Below are 19,814 nucleotides of genomic sequence, written 5' to 3'. Positions count from 1 at the left end.
AGGAATGTAAAATGGTACAGCTGCTATGGAAAATGGTGCAGCTATTATGGCAGTTGCTCATAAAATTAGAATTACTATATGATCCAGCAATTCCACTTCTGAGTATATATCCAAAATAATTGAAAGCAGAGTCTGAAAGATATTTTCACACCCATGTTTATGGCAGCATTATTCACAAAAGCCAAAAAGTGAAAGCAACCCATGTGTCCCCTGATGGATGAATGGATAAACAAATTGTAGTATGTTCACACAGTGCAATATTGTTCAGATTGAAAGTGTTAAACATAACTTTACTATCTTGCTCAACAATTCTACTCCTAGAAATATACGCAAGAGAAATGAAAACAGATACTCAAATGCTTGTACACAAATGTTCATATGTACATGTTTGTACTGCATGTATTCATATTTGTCCTGCAAATGCAAGAATCTGAATACTGTACCATATGTATGTATACACACATATGCATATGTGTGTGTATCTATATATATAATATGCTATTGGTGAATATTCTTAACATTGTGTAGGTAACCACCCAACACTTTTTTTAGAATGATGCAAAAAGAGTATTATTACGTTAGAATATTTTATATAATTTCCCTATCCCAGAGAATGGCTCCATCATGCACATTGACCCAGTGATCCCTTATATACTCCTCTTACAAGAAAAACAGACATGATGAAAAATTTTGGAGAGTTTATTTGAGCGAACAGCGATTTGTAAATCAAGAAACACCAAACCAAAAGAAGCATAAGGGACAGGTTTTTACAGAGTGAATGTGGAAATAAAGAAAATATTTGATGGGTTACAGTTGTACAGTTTCCTTATTTGGTCTATTCCATTGGAAAGTCCCTAATTATGTAAGTTAGTTGGCTGCTTCTGATTGGTTTAGTATATATCATATATTTCTGATAACCTGCTTTAAATTCTGCTCTATCTGAAATTAATATGGCTATCCCCAGTTTCTTTTCATTAGTACTAGCATTCAGATATTCAATTGTACCAGCATCATTTATTGTACAGATCATCTTTTCCTATTGAATTACACTGGCAACTCAGTAGTATACTCTCTGCCTAGGTTCAGCCCATGTGGAGAAATGGTAAATGACCTAGTGAAGAAAAAGCTAGAAATCCTCAGGGTGCCCAGGCAAGGCTCCTCCTCTCTAGAATTGAATTTCTGTTATCCTCATTACTTCTACCACTCTCCGACATCTTTGAAAATACAAAAAATACAACTGTTATTATTTGTCTAGTTTTTTTCTAGGTGTTGAAGTGGGTGCATTGGCCTAATACAACTTAGTAACTATATCTTCTTTTAGGAGTGGAACACAGAATGACATAATATGATTCCTTCTAAATTAAAATAAAATTGTAATGAATCAGAATTTATAAGCTGATATACAAAATAAAGTATAAATAATGTTTATTATCATTATACAATTATTTAGCTATTAAAGAAGAATGAACTCCATTGCTTTAGTGCTTGTGAATGAACCATACTCTTATTTTATGGACTTGGAAACTTCGTCAATGATTTGATAACCCATCCTTGATATTAAGATTCACATTATTAATATCAGGCTGGGTGCCGTGGCTGACGCCTGTAATCCCAGCACTTTGGGCGACCTAGGCAGGGTGAGTGGATCACTCTAGCCCAGGAGTTCGAGACCAGCCTGGCCAACATGGCAAGACCTTGTCTCTACAAATAATTAAAAAATAATTAGCCAGGTATGGTGGCAGGTGCCTGTAGTCCTAACTATTCGGGAGGCTGAGGTGGGAGGATCACTTGAGCCGGGGAGGCGGAGGTTGCAGTGAGCCAAGATGGCAACACTGCACTCCAGTCTGGGTGACAGAGTGAGACCTTGTCTCAAATAAAGAAATAAATAAATACATAAAATAAATAAGATTCACTATTATAATTCAAATAATCATTTTAATAATATATAACTATGTTTTCTACTCAGTAATTAAGTAGTAATGCTAGTTACAAGATTGAAAAAGTATTCTTGAAAATCCTCAGTTTATGAACTGAAGTTTGATGTTATAACAAGATACATATTCAAACCACCACCCTCAGGTACAGTTAATGTAGTAGACTGCACTCTGAAATATCGCTTGAGCCGGGGAGGCGAAGGCGACAGTGAGCCGAGATCACGCCACTGCACTCCAGCCTGGGTGACAGAGAGAGAAACCCTGTCTCAAAAAAAAAAAAAAAAAAAGAAAAAGAAAAAGGAAACAAGTTTAGAGAGGTGAAGTGACTTACCCAAGATCATGTAACCAGCAGCTGCAGGAACCTAGTTTTCGAACTCTGTTCTCCATGTCTTCTTGTTCTTTTTAATTATCCACCATGTCTAAAACCCAACATTGTTATTCACAGCATTGAGAACTGATGTGCCTTCACAGGAAACTTGGCCCGTGTGTTTCCAGGATTCTTGATGTTTCTTCTGAGCTCCAGGGTCAGGCAGTATGATTGAAGTTTCTAAGCCAGGTAAGCCTTGTCCAGCATTTGTCCTTGGGGGACTTTGTTTGAATTCATGGATGGCCCAGGCCTTGATTCTCAGGGAAAGTGTGTTATCTGAAGGTCAGATTGAAGGTTCCAACTAAATTTACTTTGTCCCCTTGTCCCAGCATCCTTGGAATAAAGTAGCTTTTGAGGTAATAAGGAGTAGTCCCTAAGAACCCACGTGGAAGGTCACACTTCTGATCTGAGACCTTTCAGCAGAGCCTCAGAGCAGAGTGGAAAAGGCCAGGAAAGAGCATGTCTGGAACTGCCTGTTCACTGAAGACATTCTTGGCACTCCTGTACAGTTAAATAACACTTGGTGATGTCAGCACATGCAGAAACCATGGCAGACTGTCCAGTGGATGGGCTTTCAGGAAGAATTAGGCTGCCAGCATGAGCAAGGGGCAGGCAGCACAGGAGAGGACACGTCACTGCCCACTGTGAGGACTGTGAGGACACAGTCTGGGGAAGGCATCGCCTAGATGGGGAACTTGTCCCTGTGCTCCTCCATAAGCCTGCTCCCTTCCTGTCTACTCACTGTCTTTGCAGCCTGTGGAGATGCATCATTGTTCCTATTCTGATGTTACAAAAATCAAGTGACAGTGTTGTATAAAGGTCAAAAAATGGGCCTAGAAAATGTGACTTATTTAATCATTTCATTTGTTAGTGGCATACTCAGAAAATAACTAATTAGGGCTGAGCTCGGTGGCTCATGCCTGTAATCCCAGCACTCTGGGAGGCCGACATGGGAGGACTGCTTGAATCCAGGAATTCAAGACCAGCTTGGGCAACATAGTGAGACCCGGTCTCTACAAAAAAAAAGTATCTGGCTGTGGTGGTGCGCACTTGTAGTTCTCCTACTTAAGAGGCCGAGACTGGAGGATTACTTGAGCTTCAGCCCAGGAGTTCAAGGCTGCAGTGAGCTGTGAATCATACCACTGTGGTACAGCCCAGGCAACAGAGCCAGACCCTGTCTCAAAACAAAAAACAAAAAAGTCTAAGTGCCATCCAGTCTTAAACAATTAAGCCACATCAAGTTTTTAAAATTAAAAGATCCTTTTGAGAAACTGCAACTGAGTTAAAATAAACAACTAAAGCACCTGCGTCTGTTTTCTGGAAATGTTGAGGAGGATTTTCGAACTGAAGGGACAAGTACTATCATTAGGAAGGCTGAGAAACAGTACAGCCAGGGCATTTTTTTCCAGTGTTTTAATGACTGCGCAGTTTTTCTTTTCTGTATTGTAATTTGCTTGATTGATTCTCTGTTGTTTTAAATTTTTCTTTTAGCCAATGGGAGGGGAACATGCATTTTTTATGAATTAGTAGGAAATATTTACAGTGATCTAATGAAAAATTGCATGTCTAAACTTTTGGTGACCTGTCAGAGTCAGCATGGACACGTGGGTGTTCCTCCACAGCGTCTCTCCTGTTCTTAGGGTTAAAGGGACATTCCCCCCAGGGACCTTGCATGCAAGTTTTCTAGGCAGGTGAGTCTGCAAGCTTCATGGCAGCCAGGTTGCACAGGATCTCATTCTCTTTCCTTCTTCCCCAGCTTTACCTTTATAATTCTCTTCCATTCTCCATGAGTAACAAGAAACGAACAGATCCCAGGCGAGTTGTTTATTCCCACTTTGTTTTACAATGGACTTTGTGAGATTTATAAGGGAACAGAAATTAAAATAGAAAAAACAGAAATAGATAAAACTCAACATCAGGGAAACTATAAAGTAGCAGGTCAGTAACTGAGCAAAGTCAGTTTTCAATACATGCAGGTCCTATAATGTCCCAGATTATCGAAGCTGAGCTGCAGATTTTTGATCTTTCTCATCAAAAATCCTCTGATCTTTCTGACAGCAAAAGAGAATTCAAAGAGAAGTCTTTCAGGAGATTAAAACATTGAGGTTCAAGTGGACAGTTTTTCAGTGGTCTTGCTTCATCCAGAGATAAGATTCAGAGTATCCAGAAGAAGGCTGAATGGTCTGCATGCCCTTAACATAGCTCTGCTTGAACAATTCCCTCCTTTCATCTGTGGTACTGCACATGAAACTGTCACTCACTCTGCTTCCTTGCTGACACTTGGTGTTGTCAGACTTTAGACTTCTTGCCAATCTAACTTCTGTGAAAACCCTGTCATTTTAATATGCATTTTTCAGATTACTAATGAGCTTATATATCCTATATTTATGGGTTTTTTGTAAACAAATTACTATTTTTGAATCATTTTTCTATATTATTTTTAAGGCTCTTGTATATATTTTGGAGAATAATTCTATGTGTATTATATTTGTTACCAACTCTCCAAGTTTTTCTCTTGCATTTTATTTATACAGTGCCTTTGGCTTTATGAGAATATTTTTATCTAGGCTGATCTGTTGATTTTTTTGTAATTGATTTTTTAAAATCTTAAAGTTCTTATTTAATTCAATATAATGTTTTTTTTTTGAGACGGAGTCTTGCTGTGTCACCCAGGCTGGAGTGCAGTGGCGCAGTCTCAGCTCACTGCAACCTCCCACTCCTGGGTTCAAGGGATTCTCGTGCCTCAGCCTCCTGAGTAGCTGGGTCTACAGGTGCATGCCACCACGTCCAGCTAATTTTTTTTATTTTTCATAGAGATGGGGTTTCACCATGTTAGCCAGGATGGTCTCGATCTCCTGACCTCATTATCTGCCTGCCTCAGCCTCCCAAGGTGCTGGGATTATAGGCGTGAGCCACTGTGCCCAGCAAATATAATGATATTTTTTTAAAAATGTTGTTTAGGCCGGGCACAGTGGCTCATGTCTGTAATCCCAGCACTTTGGGAGGCCGAGGCAGGCAGATCACCTGAGGTTGGGAGTTCGAGATCAGCCTGGCCAATATGGTGAAACCCCATCTCTACTAAAAATACAAAAATTAGCTGGGTGTAGTGGCAGATGCCTGTAATCCCAGCTAGTTGGGAGGCTGAGGCAGGAGAATCACTTGAACCAGGGAGGCAGAGGTTGCAGTGAGCCAAGATCGTGCCACTGCACTCCACCTTGGGTGACAGAGAGAGACTCCATCTCAAAAAAAAAAAAAGAAAAAATGTTGTTTAATGTTTATACACTGCTGGTGGGAATGTAAATTAGTTCAGCCACTGTGGAAAGCAGTTTAGCGATTTCTCAAAGAACTTAAAACAGAACTACCATTCTACCTAGCAACCCCATTAGTGGGTATATACCCAAAGGAATATAAGTCATTCTGCCATAAAGACACATGCACACATATGTTCATTGCAGCACTATTCACAATAGCAAAGACATGGAATCAACCTAAATATCAATCAACAGTAGACTGGATAAAGAATATATTGTACATATACACCATGAAATACTATGCAGCCATAAAAATGAATGAGATCATGTCTTTTGCAGCAACAAAAGGTGGAGCTGGAGGCCATTATCCTGAGTGAACTAACACAGGAACAGAAAACCAAATACTATATATTCTTACTTATAAGAGGGAGCTAGACATTGAGTACACATGAACACAATGAAAGGAACAATAGACACTGGGGACTGTTTGAGGGTAGAGGATAAGAGGAGGGTGAGTGTCAAAAAACTACCTATGGAGTACTATGCTTATTACCTGGGTGACAAAATAATCTGTAAACCAAATCTTCATGACATGCAACTTACCTATATAACAAACCCGTACATGTACCCCTGAACCTAAAATAAAAGTTTTTTAAATTTTCAAATTAATGTACTATGTCTGGTGTTTTCTTTTTTCTTTCTTTTCTTTTTTTATTTTTATTTTTGATAGAGACAGAGTCTCATTATGTTGCCCAGGTGTGTCTTGAACTCTTGGGCTCAAGCAATCCTCCTACCTCAGCCTCCCAAAGTGCTGGGAAAACAAGCATGAGCCACCACACCTGGCCTACTTCTAGTATTTTTTAATACTAGAAAAATATTTAAGTCTTGAATCAATCTGGAACTCATTATTGTAGATAATATGAGGACAAATCTAATTTTACTTTTTTCCACATAACACCAGTTGCAACCAACCCTAGTTATTAGCGTTTTTCTCCAGTGAATTATAATGCCACAGTTATCATTACATGTATTACTATGTCTGTGTGTATTTTTTCTTCCATTCATCCTTAATTAATTCTCCATTAGGTTCGTCTTGTCCTGTCTCACCCTTCTTACGAGTCTTACTGAGTGTAAGCTGGCATCCTAACCTTGCACCTGATTTTCAGAGATAAGTCAGGAAGTGTTAGCAAACACTGGAATTTTTCTTTTTTTGGAGACAAAGTCTCGCTCTGTCACCAGACTGGAGTGCAGTGGCGCGATCTCAGCTCACTGCAACCTCTGCCTCCCACGTTCAAGCAATTCTCCTGCTTCAGCCTCCTGAGTAACTGGGACTACAGGCGTGCGCAATCACGCTCAACTAATTTTTGTATTTTTAGTAGAGATGGGGTATCACTGTGTTGGCCAGGATGGTCTCGATCTCTTGACCTTGTGGTTTATAGTTTTTCTGGTTTTCTAATAACTCTGGTCCAATTTTGGATACACATTTATTTTATTTTTTCACATACTTATTTTAAAATTGTACATTTTTTAGGTTTTTTATTATATATTAATCTTTAAAAGGCATGATTCTTAAAATCTTTAATCTGTAGTTAATGTTAATTTTTCATTCCAGTTTTTATCAGTTATTATATTGCACTTTAATAAGGAAGCTGTTGATTAGAAAATGAAAACTGTCTTCTGGCTGGTCAAACATCTGAAGACCTAAAATGTTAGCATGTACATACAGGGTTGGCATTTTCAGATGGAGATGTCATTCTTTAAATACTCTGCAAGGAGAAGACATGTACACTTGACCTAACAGGGCCAGCTATTACTAGATACTATATAGCAAACTGTGATGATTTATTTTTATTTTTCTGTGTGTGCATATAGGTTGGGCAATGTACTTACATTTTGAAAAATTAATACAATATAAACAATATAAATCATACACAATGTGAATTCTGACTTCTATACCTGTTCCATCACCACCCTCCCCTTCTAGGGAATTATAGGGAACAAAGTTTTTACATGTGCATTTTTTTCATTTTTTTAATGCAGACAAGTAAATTAGGTTTTATATCAATCTACCTACCTGCATGTATATATGTGTATACATATATGTTTGTGTCCACACATAATATATATTTTTACCCCTTTCTTGTTATGTTTGTATTCATGTGAATATACATGTACATGTGTATCTGTGTATATATTTCTACACTCTTCTTACACAAAGGATAGAACACTATATACCTTGTCCTTTAATTTTTACATATAACAGTATATACTGGAGATCTTTCCAAATTAGTGCACATGGAAATTCCTCATTGTTTTATTAACATTTTTTTATTGAGATGAAAGTCACATACCACAACATCCACTAGTTTTTAGTATATTCATATAGTTGTACAACCATCACTCCTATCTGAATTCCAGAACATTTTCATCACTCTCAAAAGAAACCCCATAGCCATCAGCAGTCACTCCCCTAGGCAACCACTAATTGGCTTTTTGTTTGTGTAAATTTGCCTATTCTGTATATTTCATATAAATGGAATTATATAATTTGTCACCTTTGGTGTCCGACTTCTTTCACTTAGCATAATATTTTCAAGATTCATTTATTGTAGCATGTCTCAGTACTTTATTCATTGTTAAAGCTGTGTTGTATTACATTGTACAGATATACCAAATTTAGTTTATCTATTATCAGTTTGTAGACATTTGGATTGTTTCCACCTTTTGGCTATTATGAGATGGAAGCAATGCTGCTGTGCGTTTGTGTATACATTTTTGCATGAAAATATGGTTTTAATTCTCTGGATATATACCTAGGAGTAGACTTGCTGAGTCATATACTAACTCTCAAATTTAACTTTTTGAGGAACTACCAAACTATTTATTAAAGAGGAAGCACCATTTTGCATTCTAATCAACAATGTGCATGAGGGATTTAACTTCTCTACATCTCACCAATACTTGTTTTTGGTCCATCTTTTTTATTACAGCTTTTCTAGTGGGTGTGAAAGGAGATCTCATTGTGATTTTGAGTTGATTTTCCCTAATGACTAAAGCTGTTGAACATCTTTACATGGGCTTGTTGGCCATTAGTGTTATCTTCTTTTGAGAAATTTCTATTCATATCCTTTGCCTGCTTTTTAATTGGGCTGTCTTTTTGTTGTTGGGATATAAGAATTTTTTTAAAAATATATTTGGATACCAGACCCTTGTCAGATATGTAATTTACAAATACTTTTTCCCATTCTGTGGGATGTCTTTTCACTTTTTTGATGGTATCTTAGGAAGCACAAAAGTTTTAATTTTGTTGATGTTCAATTTATTCATTTTTTCTTTGGTAGCTCATGCTTTGGGTGTCATATCTAAGAAACCACTACCTAATCTAAAATTAATCTAAGATTTTGCCCTATGTTTTCCTCAAGGGGTTTTAAAGTATTAGCTCTTTCATTTAGGTCTTTGATCAATTTTGAGTTGATTTATATATGTATATCATGAGGTAGGGGGTCCAACTTCATTCCTGAAGCCTCCTGAAACATATCTAGATCTTTGTTTAAAGCGTAATTTACGTCCCCAGATACTTTGAATGTTTAACTTCAATTGCTTTCAAGAAACTATTCTTTACTACTCTAAGTTGTATGTCTTTAGACAAGTTTCTTAATCTTTATATGCCTTAGCTTCCTCATCTGTAAAACAGGGATAATAATATAACCTATCTCAAAGGGTTGTGAGGATTAAATCAGTTAGACTTAATTACTATTAGATGTTATAATTCTCTCCTTTCTTATCTTCCATTTGCAGTTAGGGGCTCTAGAAAAAAAAAACTATATTTGTTGATGCATGAGGTTTCTTTTTCTCACCTTGCTTATAATTCTGCTATATAACTGCCTCTATTTTTGTCTTCCTAATGTTTATGTGTAACTGATATTCTAATTGATTGATGGAGGAGCCAGTTGAGGGAGAGATATTTTTCTGTTCTCCCCCAAAATGGTAGAAACTACAGATGTGTGAACCAAGATGTAAAATCGAATTAAACAATATTATTTTACAAATACTTTTTTTGCAAAAAAAAAAAAGGTAACCTAGAATACTGAAAGGGGGAAAATGGGATTTGGTGATTAGGATTGGCTTATTACTAAACAACTCTGATAGACTAAGATGACTATATCAGCACTCATAAAAAGCTGTGAACCTAGTCTTGACACAACGATAGATCATCATTTGGTGTATTTATTCCTTACAAGTATTAAAGATTTGCCAGGTATTGTGGCTGATGCTTGTAATTCCAGCACTTTCGGAGGCTGAGGTGGGTGGATCACTTGAGGACAGGAGTTGGAGACCAACATGGCCAATGTGGTGAAACCCTGTCTTTAATAAAAATACAAAAAAAAAAAGCCAGCTGTAGGGGTGCATGCCTGTAATCCCAGCTACCCGGGAGGCTGAGGCACAAGAATTGCTTGAACCCAGGAGTCAGAGGTTGCAATGAGCCAAGATTGTGCCACTGCACTCCAGCCTGGGTGACAGAGCAAGACTGTCAAAAAAAAAAAAAAAGTATTATAAAGATTTGTGTTTGGAGAACACCACAGGTATTTCTATTTATTGCTTGCTTCCCCCCCTTTTATTATTACAAAATATTATTTCCCATAGTTAGATATATCAGTTAATCAAATAGACAGACTATAACCAATTAAGAAGAATTTGCATTTTCTTCCTGAGAGAAATGTATTTGAAGCCAAAGCTTAGCCACATTTAAGTGCAATTGTATAACCAATTCATAACAAACGTAAAATTCACCAGATGTGATTAATTTTCTTCTATTCTAGAAAAAGTCTGGGGACTCCAGAATATTCAACACCAGCAACCCAGACAGGTTATATTAATAAAAAACAAAATAATGATTAATCATAAAAAGACTTTACGTGGAAGGCATTTAATATTGGTATTAATCTTGTTGATTCAAGAAAAGTACTCTATCAGTAATATGATTCATATGATAAAAATTTGAAATATATTTCAGAATTAATGATTAGTAATAGAAACTGCATGAGAAAGGTGCCTCATGAATGTGATATATGTGGGAAGTGACATTGCATTTAAACTTGAGGAAACATCTACTGAAATTAAACCTCATGAATACAATCAAAATGGAAAGGATATCAGTCATAATGAATACTGTGTTCAGCTTCAAATTTTGGGGCCACACTAAGGATTTAATGAATATGGAAAAGACTTTTATAAGGCAGACTCTGGCAGCCAAAAGAGATCTCATGTTGGGAGAGGGGGAAAAAAAAACGCTTTTTGAATTTAATGACTGTGAAAGCACTTTCTTCCAAAAGTCAGTTGTCAGGATATATGAGAGAACTGAAATAGAAAGTAAGCGCATGAAAGCAATGAACATGGCAATCCTGCACAGTGTCAAAAAAATTATATCAAACAGCACATACAGGGGAGAGCCTCTTTGAATATGGTTCATTTGGGAAGACCTTTGGTTACTCATCAACAATTATTATACATCAAAGAAGTCAATCAAAGTAGACATCTCATGATTATCCTCAGTGTATGAAAACTATAATTGAACCATCACATTCTACTGTACGTACATCAGAGAGCTCCTACAGGACAAGAACCCAATGAATATAATGAATGTAAACAAGCAATTAAGATTTCAAACTTTAAGAGAATTGACACAGTAGAGAAACTTTATGAGTTTACTGAGTGTAGAAATGCCTTACACAAAAAGTTCCACTTTACCCATTATCAGAGAACTCACATAGAAATCTTGTGAAAGTAGTCAGTGTGGCAGAACCTTCAACAAAAAGTCTTATCTCACAAAACATCACAGGCTACACACAGGGGAGAATCCCTATGAATGTAGTGAATGTGGCAAAGCCTTTTATAGTAAGGTACATCTCACTAGACATCAGAGAATACACATAGGGGAGAAGCCCTCTGAATGTGCTGAGTGTGAGAAAACTTCCTGTGTGACATCAACACTGAGTGTGCATCAGAGAACACACATGGGAGAAACCTTATGAATGTACTGAATGTGGGACAATCTTTAACCACAAGTCAACACTCACTGAACATCAGAGAACACACACAGGAGAAACTATGAATGTACTAAATGTAGGATAACCTTTTTTGCAAAGTTAAAACTCATTGGACAACAAAGAATACACACTGGGGAAAAACCTTATGAATGTATCAGATGTGGGAAAACTTTCAGTGGTAATTCATGCCTCACAGTACATCAGAGAAAACACACGGGGGAGAAACCCTATGAATGTACCGACTGAGAAAACCAGTAGCAATTTAAATCTCACACTACATCAGAGAACAGATACAAGAGAGAAACCCTATGAATGTACTGAATGTGGGAAAACCTACACTCACAAATCAAGTCTCAATGAACATTGTAGAATATAGGGCAAAAGCTCTGTGAATGTAATAAATGTGACACATCATTGTGCCACAGTTCAGTCCTTACTAAATGTCAGAGAATTCAAAGAGGAAAGAAGCACTGTAAGTATAATGAATGTAAGAAATCCTTTTGCTAGAAGACAAACTCTGTGGTACATCAGATAGCACACATAGCGGAAAATGTCTTTTAAATGTTGAAAATGTCTTAAATATTGAAACTCCAAAATTAAATCCATAAACCAAACTCATTATATATGAGAGAACTGATGAAATGCAGCCGTGAACATCAAATAATCATAATCAACAAATCAATAAAAAAAACCTTGTATATATAAGCATAATTACTTGTACATCAAATTATTAGTCTAGGATTTAAACCTTATGGACAGTTGGTATTAACATTTGACAAGATTTAAAAAAATTATACATCTGAGAATCCATTTTTAGGGATCTTAACGTGGAAAAACATATTAAAAAGAAATGTCATCACAGTTTTTGCATCAGATGTGATGTGAAATATTTTATAGCATAAAGCCAACATTCTTATATGTATATGTGTACACGCATATATACACGGAAAAGTAGGAAATCCTTTAAAATTTGGATAAGTTTAATGATCAAGAAAATAGAAATAAACATATAAGGTCTCTGAGATCTATATGCATATGTTGCATCACAGGAATTATGCACATATTGGATTTGCATATGTGATTCCAGAATAAGTGGGTATAGAATGAATATATTTGCCCTTAATATAATCATTAGAACTAGACCCACTGAATTCTCCACACCACTTTGCCTTAATATCTTTCAACACTTTTATTTATTTTATCTGACAAATGTAAAATGTTATATTTGATACCCTTTCTTCAACATTTTTTTGGCCTAATTAGATGGTATTGGCCATTGGTATCGAACCACATCTTTAATAAAGAATCTGTGTTTATTGTTATTTGTGTTTGTTTATGTTTCCATCTGCTTTATTGAAATAAAAGTTTTATTTTTGAATAATTTTTTTTTAGACAGAGTCTCTCTCTGTCACCCAGGCTGGAGTGCAGTGGCGTGATCTCGGCTCACTGCAACCTCCGCTTCCCAGGTTCAAGCAATTCTGCTGCCTCAGCCTCCCGAGTAGCTGGGACTACAGGCATGTGCCACCATGCCTGGGTAATTTTTTTTGTATTTTTAGTAGAGATGGGGTTTCACCATGTTGGCCAAACCGGTCTTGATCTCCTGACCTTGTGATCCGCCTGCCGCAGCCTCCCAAAGTGCTGGGATTACAGGTGTGAGCCACCGCGCCCGGCCAATATTTTTAAATTCAGAGAAAGTTTCAATGATAATAGATTTCTCGTACACCTTTCACCCAGTTCCCATGATGTTATCATTATATACAACCTTGGCATATACGTCAAAATAAGAAATTAACATGGGTACAACACTATTAATGAAAAATTTTGTTTGGATTTCACCAGTTTCTGTTAATGGTGTTTTTCTGTAGACTGGCATCCAGTCTAGGATGCCACATTGTGTTTAGTTGTTATATCAGTTTTTCTGTCTTTTTCAAGACCCTGGCACTTACGAAGAATACTGGTCAAATGTTTTGTAGAATGTCTTTCAATCTGTGACTGCCTAATGTTTTCTTACAATCATACTGGGGTTATGGAATTTGGGGAATAATACCACAGAGATTAGGTACCCTAATTGCATCATATGATGGTGTGCATGATACCAACATGACTGTTGGCTGATGGTGCTAACTTTGATCACTTGATTAAGGTGGTGTCTGTCTGGTTTCTCACCTGTAAAGTTACAGTGTTTTCCTTTCCATACTCTTGTTTTTTGGAAGTGAGTTGCTAAGTCCAGCTCATACTCTAGGCATGAAGAGTTAAGCTTCACCCCTTGGAGTGGGGATAAATACATATATTATTTCTAGTCTTCCAAAAGGAAGGTTTGTTCTTTCTCATTTGTTTATCTGTTTATTCAGCCATTTATGTCAATGTGGCCTCATGGATATTTATTTTATTCTTGACATTACTCCTTTTGTTGCTCAGTTTGTTTCAGCTTTGGCCACTGGAAGTTTATAGGGAAACAGTTCCATGATGGCACCCTGGCAGTCTTACATGTCTCCATACATGGCCACATAGGACAGGCTCAACTGCAGGCTGACCTGTGTCTTGGCAGGTAGTGAGGAGCTATCATGAAATTACATCTCATTCACCTCCCTATCTTGTGGGAGGCAGTTTCTCATCTGCCTCTCTGGTCCCAGGCATGAGACTTTGTACCTTGTCACCCTCCTCCATGGGTAGATCTGCAAGCTATAAAACCACTTAACTGTGGTCTAGAATTAGCTCTTCTGCAAGAGAGTATCCCAGCTACTCATGCTGCCCATCCTATGGCCCTTTTATTCTTGGTATCATCCTGTGGGAGAGGAGATAAAGGCAGCTGACACTATGGTGATCTTGCGTATGTGGTCTATGTAAGGCATAAACTGTTTCAGTCCATTTGTGCTTGCTTTGTTCTTACCAGCCAATAGCTGCAGTAGTCACTGCTGCTTAGAGACTGCTTGAGAGAGCTCTTTCAGGTTGGCTTCTGGGTTCTTTCAACATGCTCCCAACCTTTTGTTGTTAAAGGAATTAAAATGTTTATTGCATTTATAAGGTTAATTTTTATTCAAATGGCTTTCTTCTTTTTGTCTTTTGTTGCTGCTTTTAATTATTTGGAGAAGGTTATATGCTTTTCATAATGACATCCCACTGAAATCCATCTGTCTCCCACTTCCCTGTTGTGGGGTGGCTATTTCAAGTTCATCAGATAAGCCAGAAGCTAATCTCCACCTCTTCAATTGGTATATGAAAAACAGAAAAAGTCCCATACAAAAGAGTATACCTGAAAACGAATATACCTGAAAGTAATAGTGTGCTAAAACTGCCAAGGCTTTACTCACATTTTTGTATCAGTGTATTCACATCTAGCATAATAAATGACCATTAACATATTGTGGAAATAAATAACAAAGGCCGGGCACGGTGGCTCACACCTGTAATCCCAGCACTTTGGGAGGCCGAGGTAGGTGGATCACGAGGTCAGGAGATTGAAACCATCCTGGCTAACATGGTGAAACCCCGTCTCTACTAAAAATACAAAAAAATTAGCCGGTCGTGGTGGCGGGTGCCTGCAGTCTCAGCTACTTGGGAGGCTGAGGCAGGAGAATGGCGTGAACCCGGGAAGCAGGTTCAGATCGCACCACTGCACTACAGCCTGGGAGACAGAGTGAGACTCTGTCTCAAAAAAAAAAAAAAAAAAAAAAAAAAAAAGAAATAACAAAGTATAAGAGAAACAAAAACATAGACCATTTTTCAGCCCCAAGGTGGGAACTTGACTGTTGTCATGTCAGAGCTAAACTACACTTCTAGTACACTTTTTTTTTTTTTTTTAAGATAATGGGGTCTCAGTCTCTTGCCCAGGCCAGACTGCAGTTGTTCAATCATGGCTCACTGCAGCCTTGACCTTCTGGCCTCAAGCAATGTTCCTATCTCAGCCTCCCATGTAGCTGGAGCTACAGGAGTGCACACTCACACTTGGCTAACTTTTTTTATTTTTTATTTTTATTTTTTTAAAAAATTATTTATTTATTTATTTATTTATTTAGAGACGGAGCCTCGCTCTGTCGCCAGGCTGGAGTGCAGTGATGCCATCTCGGCTCACTGCAACCACTGCCTCCCAGGTTCAAGAGATTCTCCTGCCTCAGCCTCCCGAGTAGCTGAGACTACAGGCGTGCGCCACTACGCCCAGCTAATTTTGGTATTTTTAGTAGAAACGGGGTTTCACCATGTTGGCCAGGATGGTCTCGATCTCTTGACCTCGTGATCTGCCCGTCTCAGCCTCCTAAAGTGCTTGATTACAGGCGTGAGCCACTGTGCCCGGCCTAACTTTTTATTTTGTAGAGACAGCGTCTCCCTATGTTGCACAGGCTGGTCTTGAACTCCCAGGCTCAAGCGATTTTCCAGCCTCAGCCTCCCAAAATGCTGGATTACAGGCATGAGCCACCATTCCCAGCCCTAGTTACTTTTTTTTTTTTTTTTTTTTGACACAGAGTCTTGCTCTGTCACCCAGGCTGGAGTGCAGTGGCGCGATCTCGGCTCACTGCAAGCTCCGCCTCCCGGGTTCACGCCATTCTCCTGCCTCAGCCTGCCGAGTAGTTGGGACTGCAGGCACCTGCCACCGCGCCTGTCTCATTTTTTTTTTTTTTTTGTATTTTCAGTAGAGACGGGGTTTCACTGTGTTAGCCAGGATGGTCTTGATCTCCTGACCTTGTGATCCGCCCACCTCAGCCTCCCAAAGTGTTGGGATTACAGGCATGAGCCATGGCGCCCGGCCCCAGGCAGGTTTTAAGTACAATTGAAAGAAAAGATAAAGCTTGTGGTTCATTCATCCACTTCCTACTAGAGTGGAAGTAGTGTCCTAAAACTTCAGGTGTTCTTAGTAAACTAAGCTGGAGGAATTTTTCCCTTGTTCTAGTCCAGAGCAAATATTTGTTTATTGAGAAATATATAACTCCTTCCCCTATCTGTGTTAGTCACCTGTAAAGAGATGAATACAGGCTAGTATCCTGTTCCTCTAGGCTTCTCAGTCAACACAGCTGATGTTATAGAGTTCATATTTTCTGAGAAGAAACTTTTTTACAATAAAGGTACCAGAGAGAGGCTGAATGCCATCAGCTGTGTGTACTTGGGTACATTTTTGGATGAGTAAGCTAATAAATTATCTGTTGTTCTATAATTATGTTTTACCTTGCCTGAGAGAAAAAGATCTTCATTGCCCTGTCCCTTGAAAGCACTGAGAAGGGGTTATCAAAAAAGACACTTCTGAAAATGGCTTATCTTTCTAGATTACCATAAAACACCATTTTAGTTGATACTGATATTCAGCAGACACCTTTTGAGCTCTTCCTGAAATGTTTGCCCTCTCCACCTAACAATAAGTTTATGGAGTCTGAAAAATTACTCTGTAGAGGGCATTTTTGCTCAAAGCAGTCTCCATTGGCTTTTTAGCAGTTTTTTTTTTTGAGATATAATTTATGTAACTTAACATTCATCCACTGTGTACAATTCAGTGATATATATTAAATTTTAAGAGTTGTGCAAACATCGCCACAATCCAATTTTACATTTATATCACCCAAAAACATTCCTTCACGCCAATATGCTGTCAGTCCCCACTCTAACTCCCAGCCAATCACTGATCTGCCCTGTGTCTATAAAATTGTCTTTCAGCCTGGCCAACATGATGAAACCCCATCTCTAACAAAAATGTAAACTTTAGCCGGGGATGGAGGCATGTGCCTGTAGTCCCAGCTGCTTAGGAGGCTGAGGTGGGAGAATCGCTTGAACCCAGGAAGCAGAGGTTGCAGTGAGCCAACGTTGTGCCACTGCACTCCAGCCTGGGAGACAAAGTGAGACCCTGTCTCAAAAAAAAAAAAAGTCTTTCTAGACATTCATATAAATATTTAGTCTTGTATGTCTAACTCCTTTTATTTAACAAAATGATTGTTTTAGTTTCATCCATATTGTAGGGGTTCCAGTTTCTCCATATCCTCAACATCATTTGTTATTGTCTGTTTTTATAATAACTATTCTAGTAATTATGTAGTGGTATCTTATTGTATGTTTAATTTGTACTTCTCTAGTGACTAATGATGTTTGCTTTGTTTGCATTTGTGTATTTTCTTTATTTTTTGAGACAGAGTCTCGTTCCATCACCCAGGCTGGAGTGCAGTGGTGGCTTCATGGCTCACTGCAACCTCCACCTCCCAGGCTTAAGTGATTCTCCTGCCTCAGTCTCCTGAGTAGCTAGGATTACAGGCACATGCCACCAAGCCTGGGTAATTTTTGTATTCTTGGTAGAGATGGGGTTTCACCATGTTGACCAGGTTAGTCTTGAACTCCTGACCTCAGGTGATCCACCTGCCTCAGCCTCCCAAAGTGCTGGGATTACAGGTGTGAGCCACCGTGTCTGGCCCTTGCATTTGTATATTTTCTTTGATAAATGTCTCATTCAAGTCTTTTGCATGTTTTCTTTTTTTTTTTTTTTTTTTAAGATGGAGTCTCACTGTTGCCCAGGATAGGGTGCAGCGGCACGATCTTGGCTCACTGCAACCTCCACCTCCTGGGTTCAAGCGATTCTCCTGCCTCAGCCTCCTGAGTAGCTGGGACTATAGGCACCCACCACTACACCTGGCTAATTTTTTATTAGTAGAGATGGGGTTTTACCATGTTGGCCAGGCTGGTCTTGAACTCCTGACCTCAGGTGATCTGCCCGCCTCAGCCTCCCAAAGTGCTGGGATTACAGACTTGAGCCACCATGCCTGGCCAAGTTGTAAGTCTTTATATATTCAAATTATGAGACTTATCAGAAATATTACTTGCAAATATTTTCTACTAATATATGGCTTATCTTTTCATTGTCTCAATGTTATCTTTTGAATCACAATAGCTGTCACTTTTAATGAAATCTAGTTTACTTTTTTTATATGAATTGTGCTTTGTTGTCTAAGAACTCTTTGTCTAACCAGTGGTCACAAAGATTTTTCTTCTATATTTTCTTCTATAAATTTTATACTTTTAGCTCTTATATCTGAGTCTTTGATTCATTCTGCTTTAATTTTCATATATTGTGTGAGGTAAAGGTCTAAGTTACTATTTTTTTTTTTTGGCATGGGGATATACAATTGTCCCAACATGATTTGTGGACATACAATTTGTTTTAATGCCAAATTTAATTTCCTCTTGAAGTATCTTGGCACTTTTGTCAAAAATCAGTTGACCAAAAATAAATAAATAAATAAATAAACCAAAAACCGAAAAACATACATACAAAAGCAAAACAGGAAAAAAGATCAGTTGACCAGTGACACATAGCATCCTGGGCAGTAAAAGTTTATTCCTGGACTCAATTAATTTCCATTATCTATGTGTTCGTACTTATGCCAGTGCCACACTGTCTTGATTTTGGTAACTTTATAGTATACTTTATTTATTTATTTATGTATTTTACTTATTATTATTATTTTTTTTGTTTTGAGATAGAGTCTTGCTCTGTCACCCAGGCTGGAGTGCAGTGGTGTGATCTCAGCTCACTGCAACCTCTGCCTCCCAGGTTCAGGCGATTCTCCTGCCTCAGCCTTCTGAATAGCTGGGACTACAGGCGTGTACCACCATGCCCGGCTAATTTTTTGTATTTTTAGTAGAGACAAGGTTTCACCATGTTAGTCAGGAAGGTCTGGATCTCCTGACCTTGTGATCTGCCTGGCTCAGCCTCCCAAAGTGCTGGGATTAAAGGCATGAGCCAAAGTGCCTGGCCTATAGTATACTTTAAAATCAAGTAGTATAAGTTTTACAAATTTGTTCTCTTTCAAGATTGTTTTGGTTTCTTAGACATGACACCTAAAACATGAGCTACCAAAGGAAAAAAAATGAATAATTTGGACATCAACAAAATTAAAACTTTTGTGCATTATCACAATATTCAGCCTTATTTAATCCATAAACATGGAATGCCTCTTTATTCAGTTCATGTAAATAAAAATTTTCATAAAATACACAAAGGTAGAATACAATTATTAACCCTACAAAATGAATTTTGAGAAAGAAAGCAGCTGTAAACTATATTATACTTTGAAATCCATAAAACAAAAAGTAGTACTGTTTAAAAAACTAAACTGATCTTTCATGCTCTTATTTTTTCAATGGAATGATTCATGTATAAACATACATTACATTAAAACTATGCAACCTCAAGATTATGTCTACATTTTTAATTATTTGCATTATATAGTCATATAATGCATAT

At 37.8% G+C, this 19,814-nt stretch overlaps 1 protein-coding gene and 1 pseudogene across 34 annotated transcripts in view; both read left to right on the top strand.

Moving 5' to 3' along the window:
- ZNF248 (zinc finger protein 248) overlaps positions 1-19,814 on the top strand; it is a 99,566-nt gene that overhangs the window by 51,781 nt on the left and 27,971 nt on the right. For 11 of the 33 annotated variants that reach the window (XR_001747152.2, XR_001747150.2, XR_001747148.2 and 8 more), the window contains one exon: positions 2,380-2,490. The exons of 11 other annotated variants lie outside the window; for them this stretch is intronic. Coding sequence is in view for 5 of the 22 variants with exons in the window: in NM_001352493.2 (NP_001339422.1) it covers positions 2,380-2,385 (6 nt within the window). In the remaining 17 variants the exon portion in view is untranslated. Of the gene's footprint in view, positions 1-2,379; positions 4,808-19,814 lie in introns of those variants that run through there. 11 more of the 33 variants (XR_001747147.2, XM_017016448.2, NM_001352477.2 and 8 more) reach the window with 4 other exon arrangements.
- ZNF33BP1 (zinc finger protein 33B pseudogene 1) lies at positions 11,148-12,385 on the top strand (annotated as a pseudogene). The gene has a single exon (NR_051997.1). The product of NR_051997.1 is annotated as a zinc finger protein 33B pseudogene 1 (transcript).

Source organism: Homo sapiens, chromosome 10 (genome assembly GCF_000001405.40).
Source record: "Homo sapiens chromosome 10, GRCh38.p14 Primary Assembly".
In the NCBI taxonomy this organism is placed as follows: domain Eukaryota; kingdom Metazoa; phylum Chordata; class Mammalia; order Primates; family Hominidae; genus Homo; species Homo sapiens.
The sequence above is the reverse complement of the archived record's forward strand: the minus strand, read 5'-3'. Positions and strand labels throughout refer to the sequence as shown.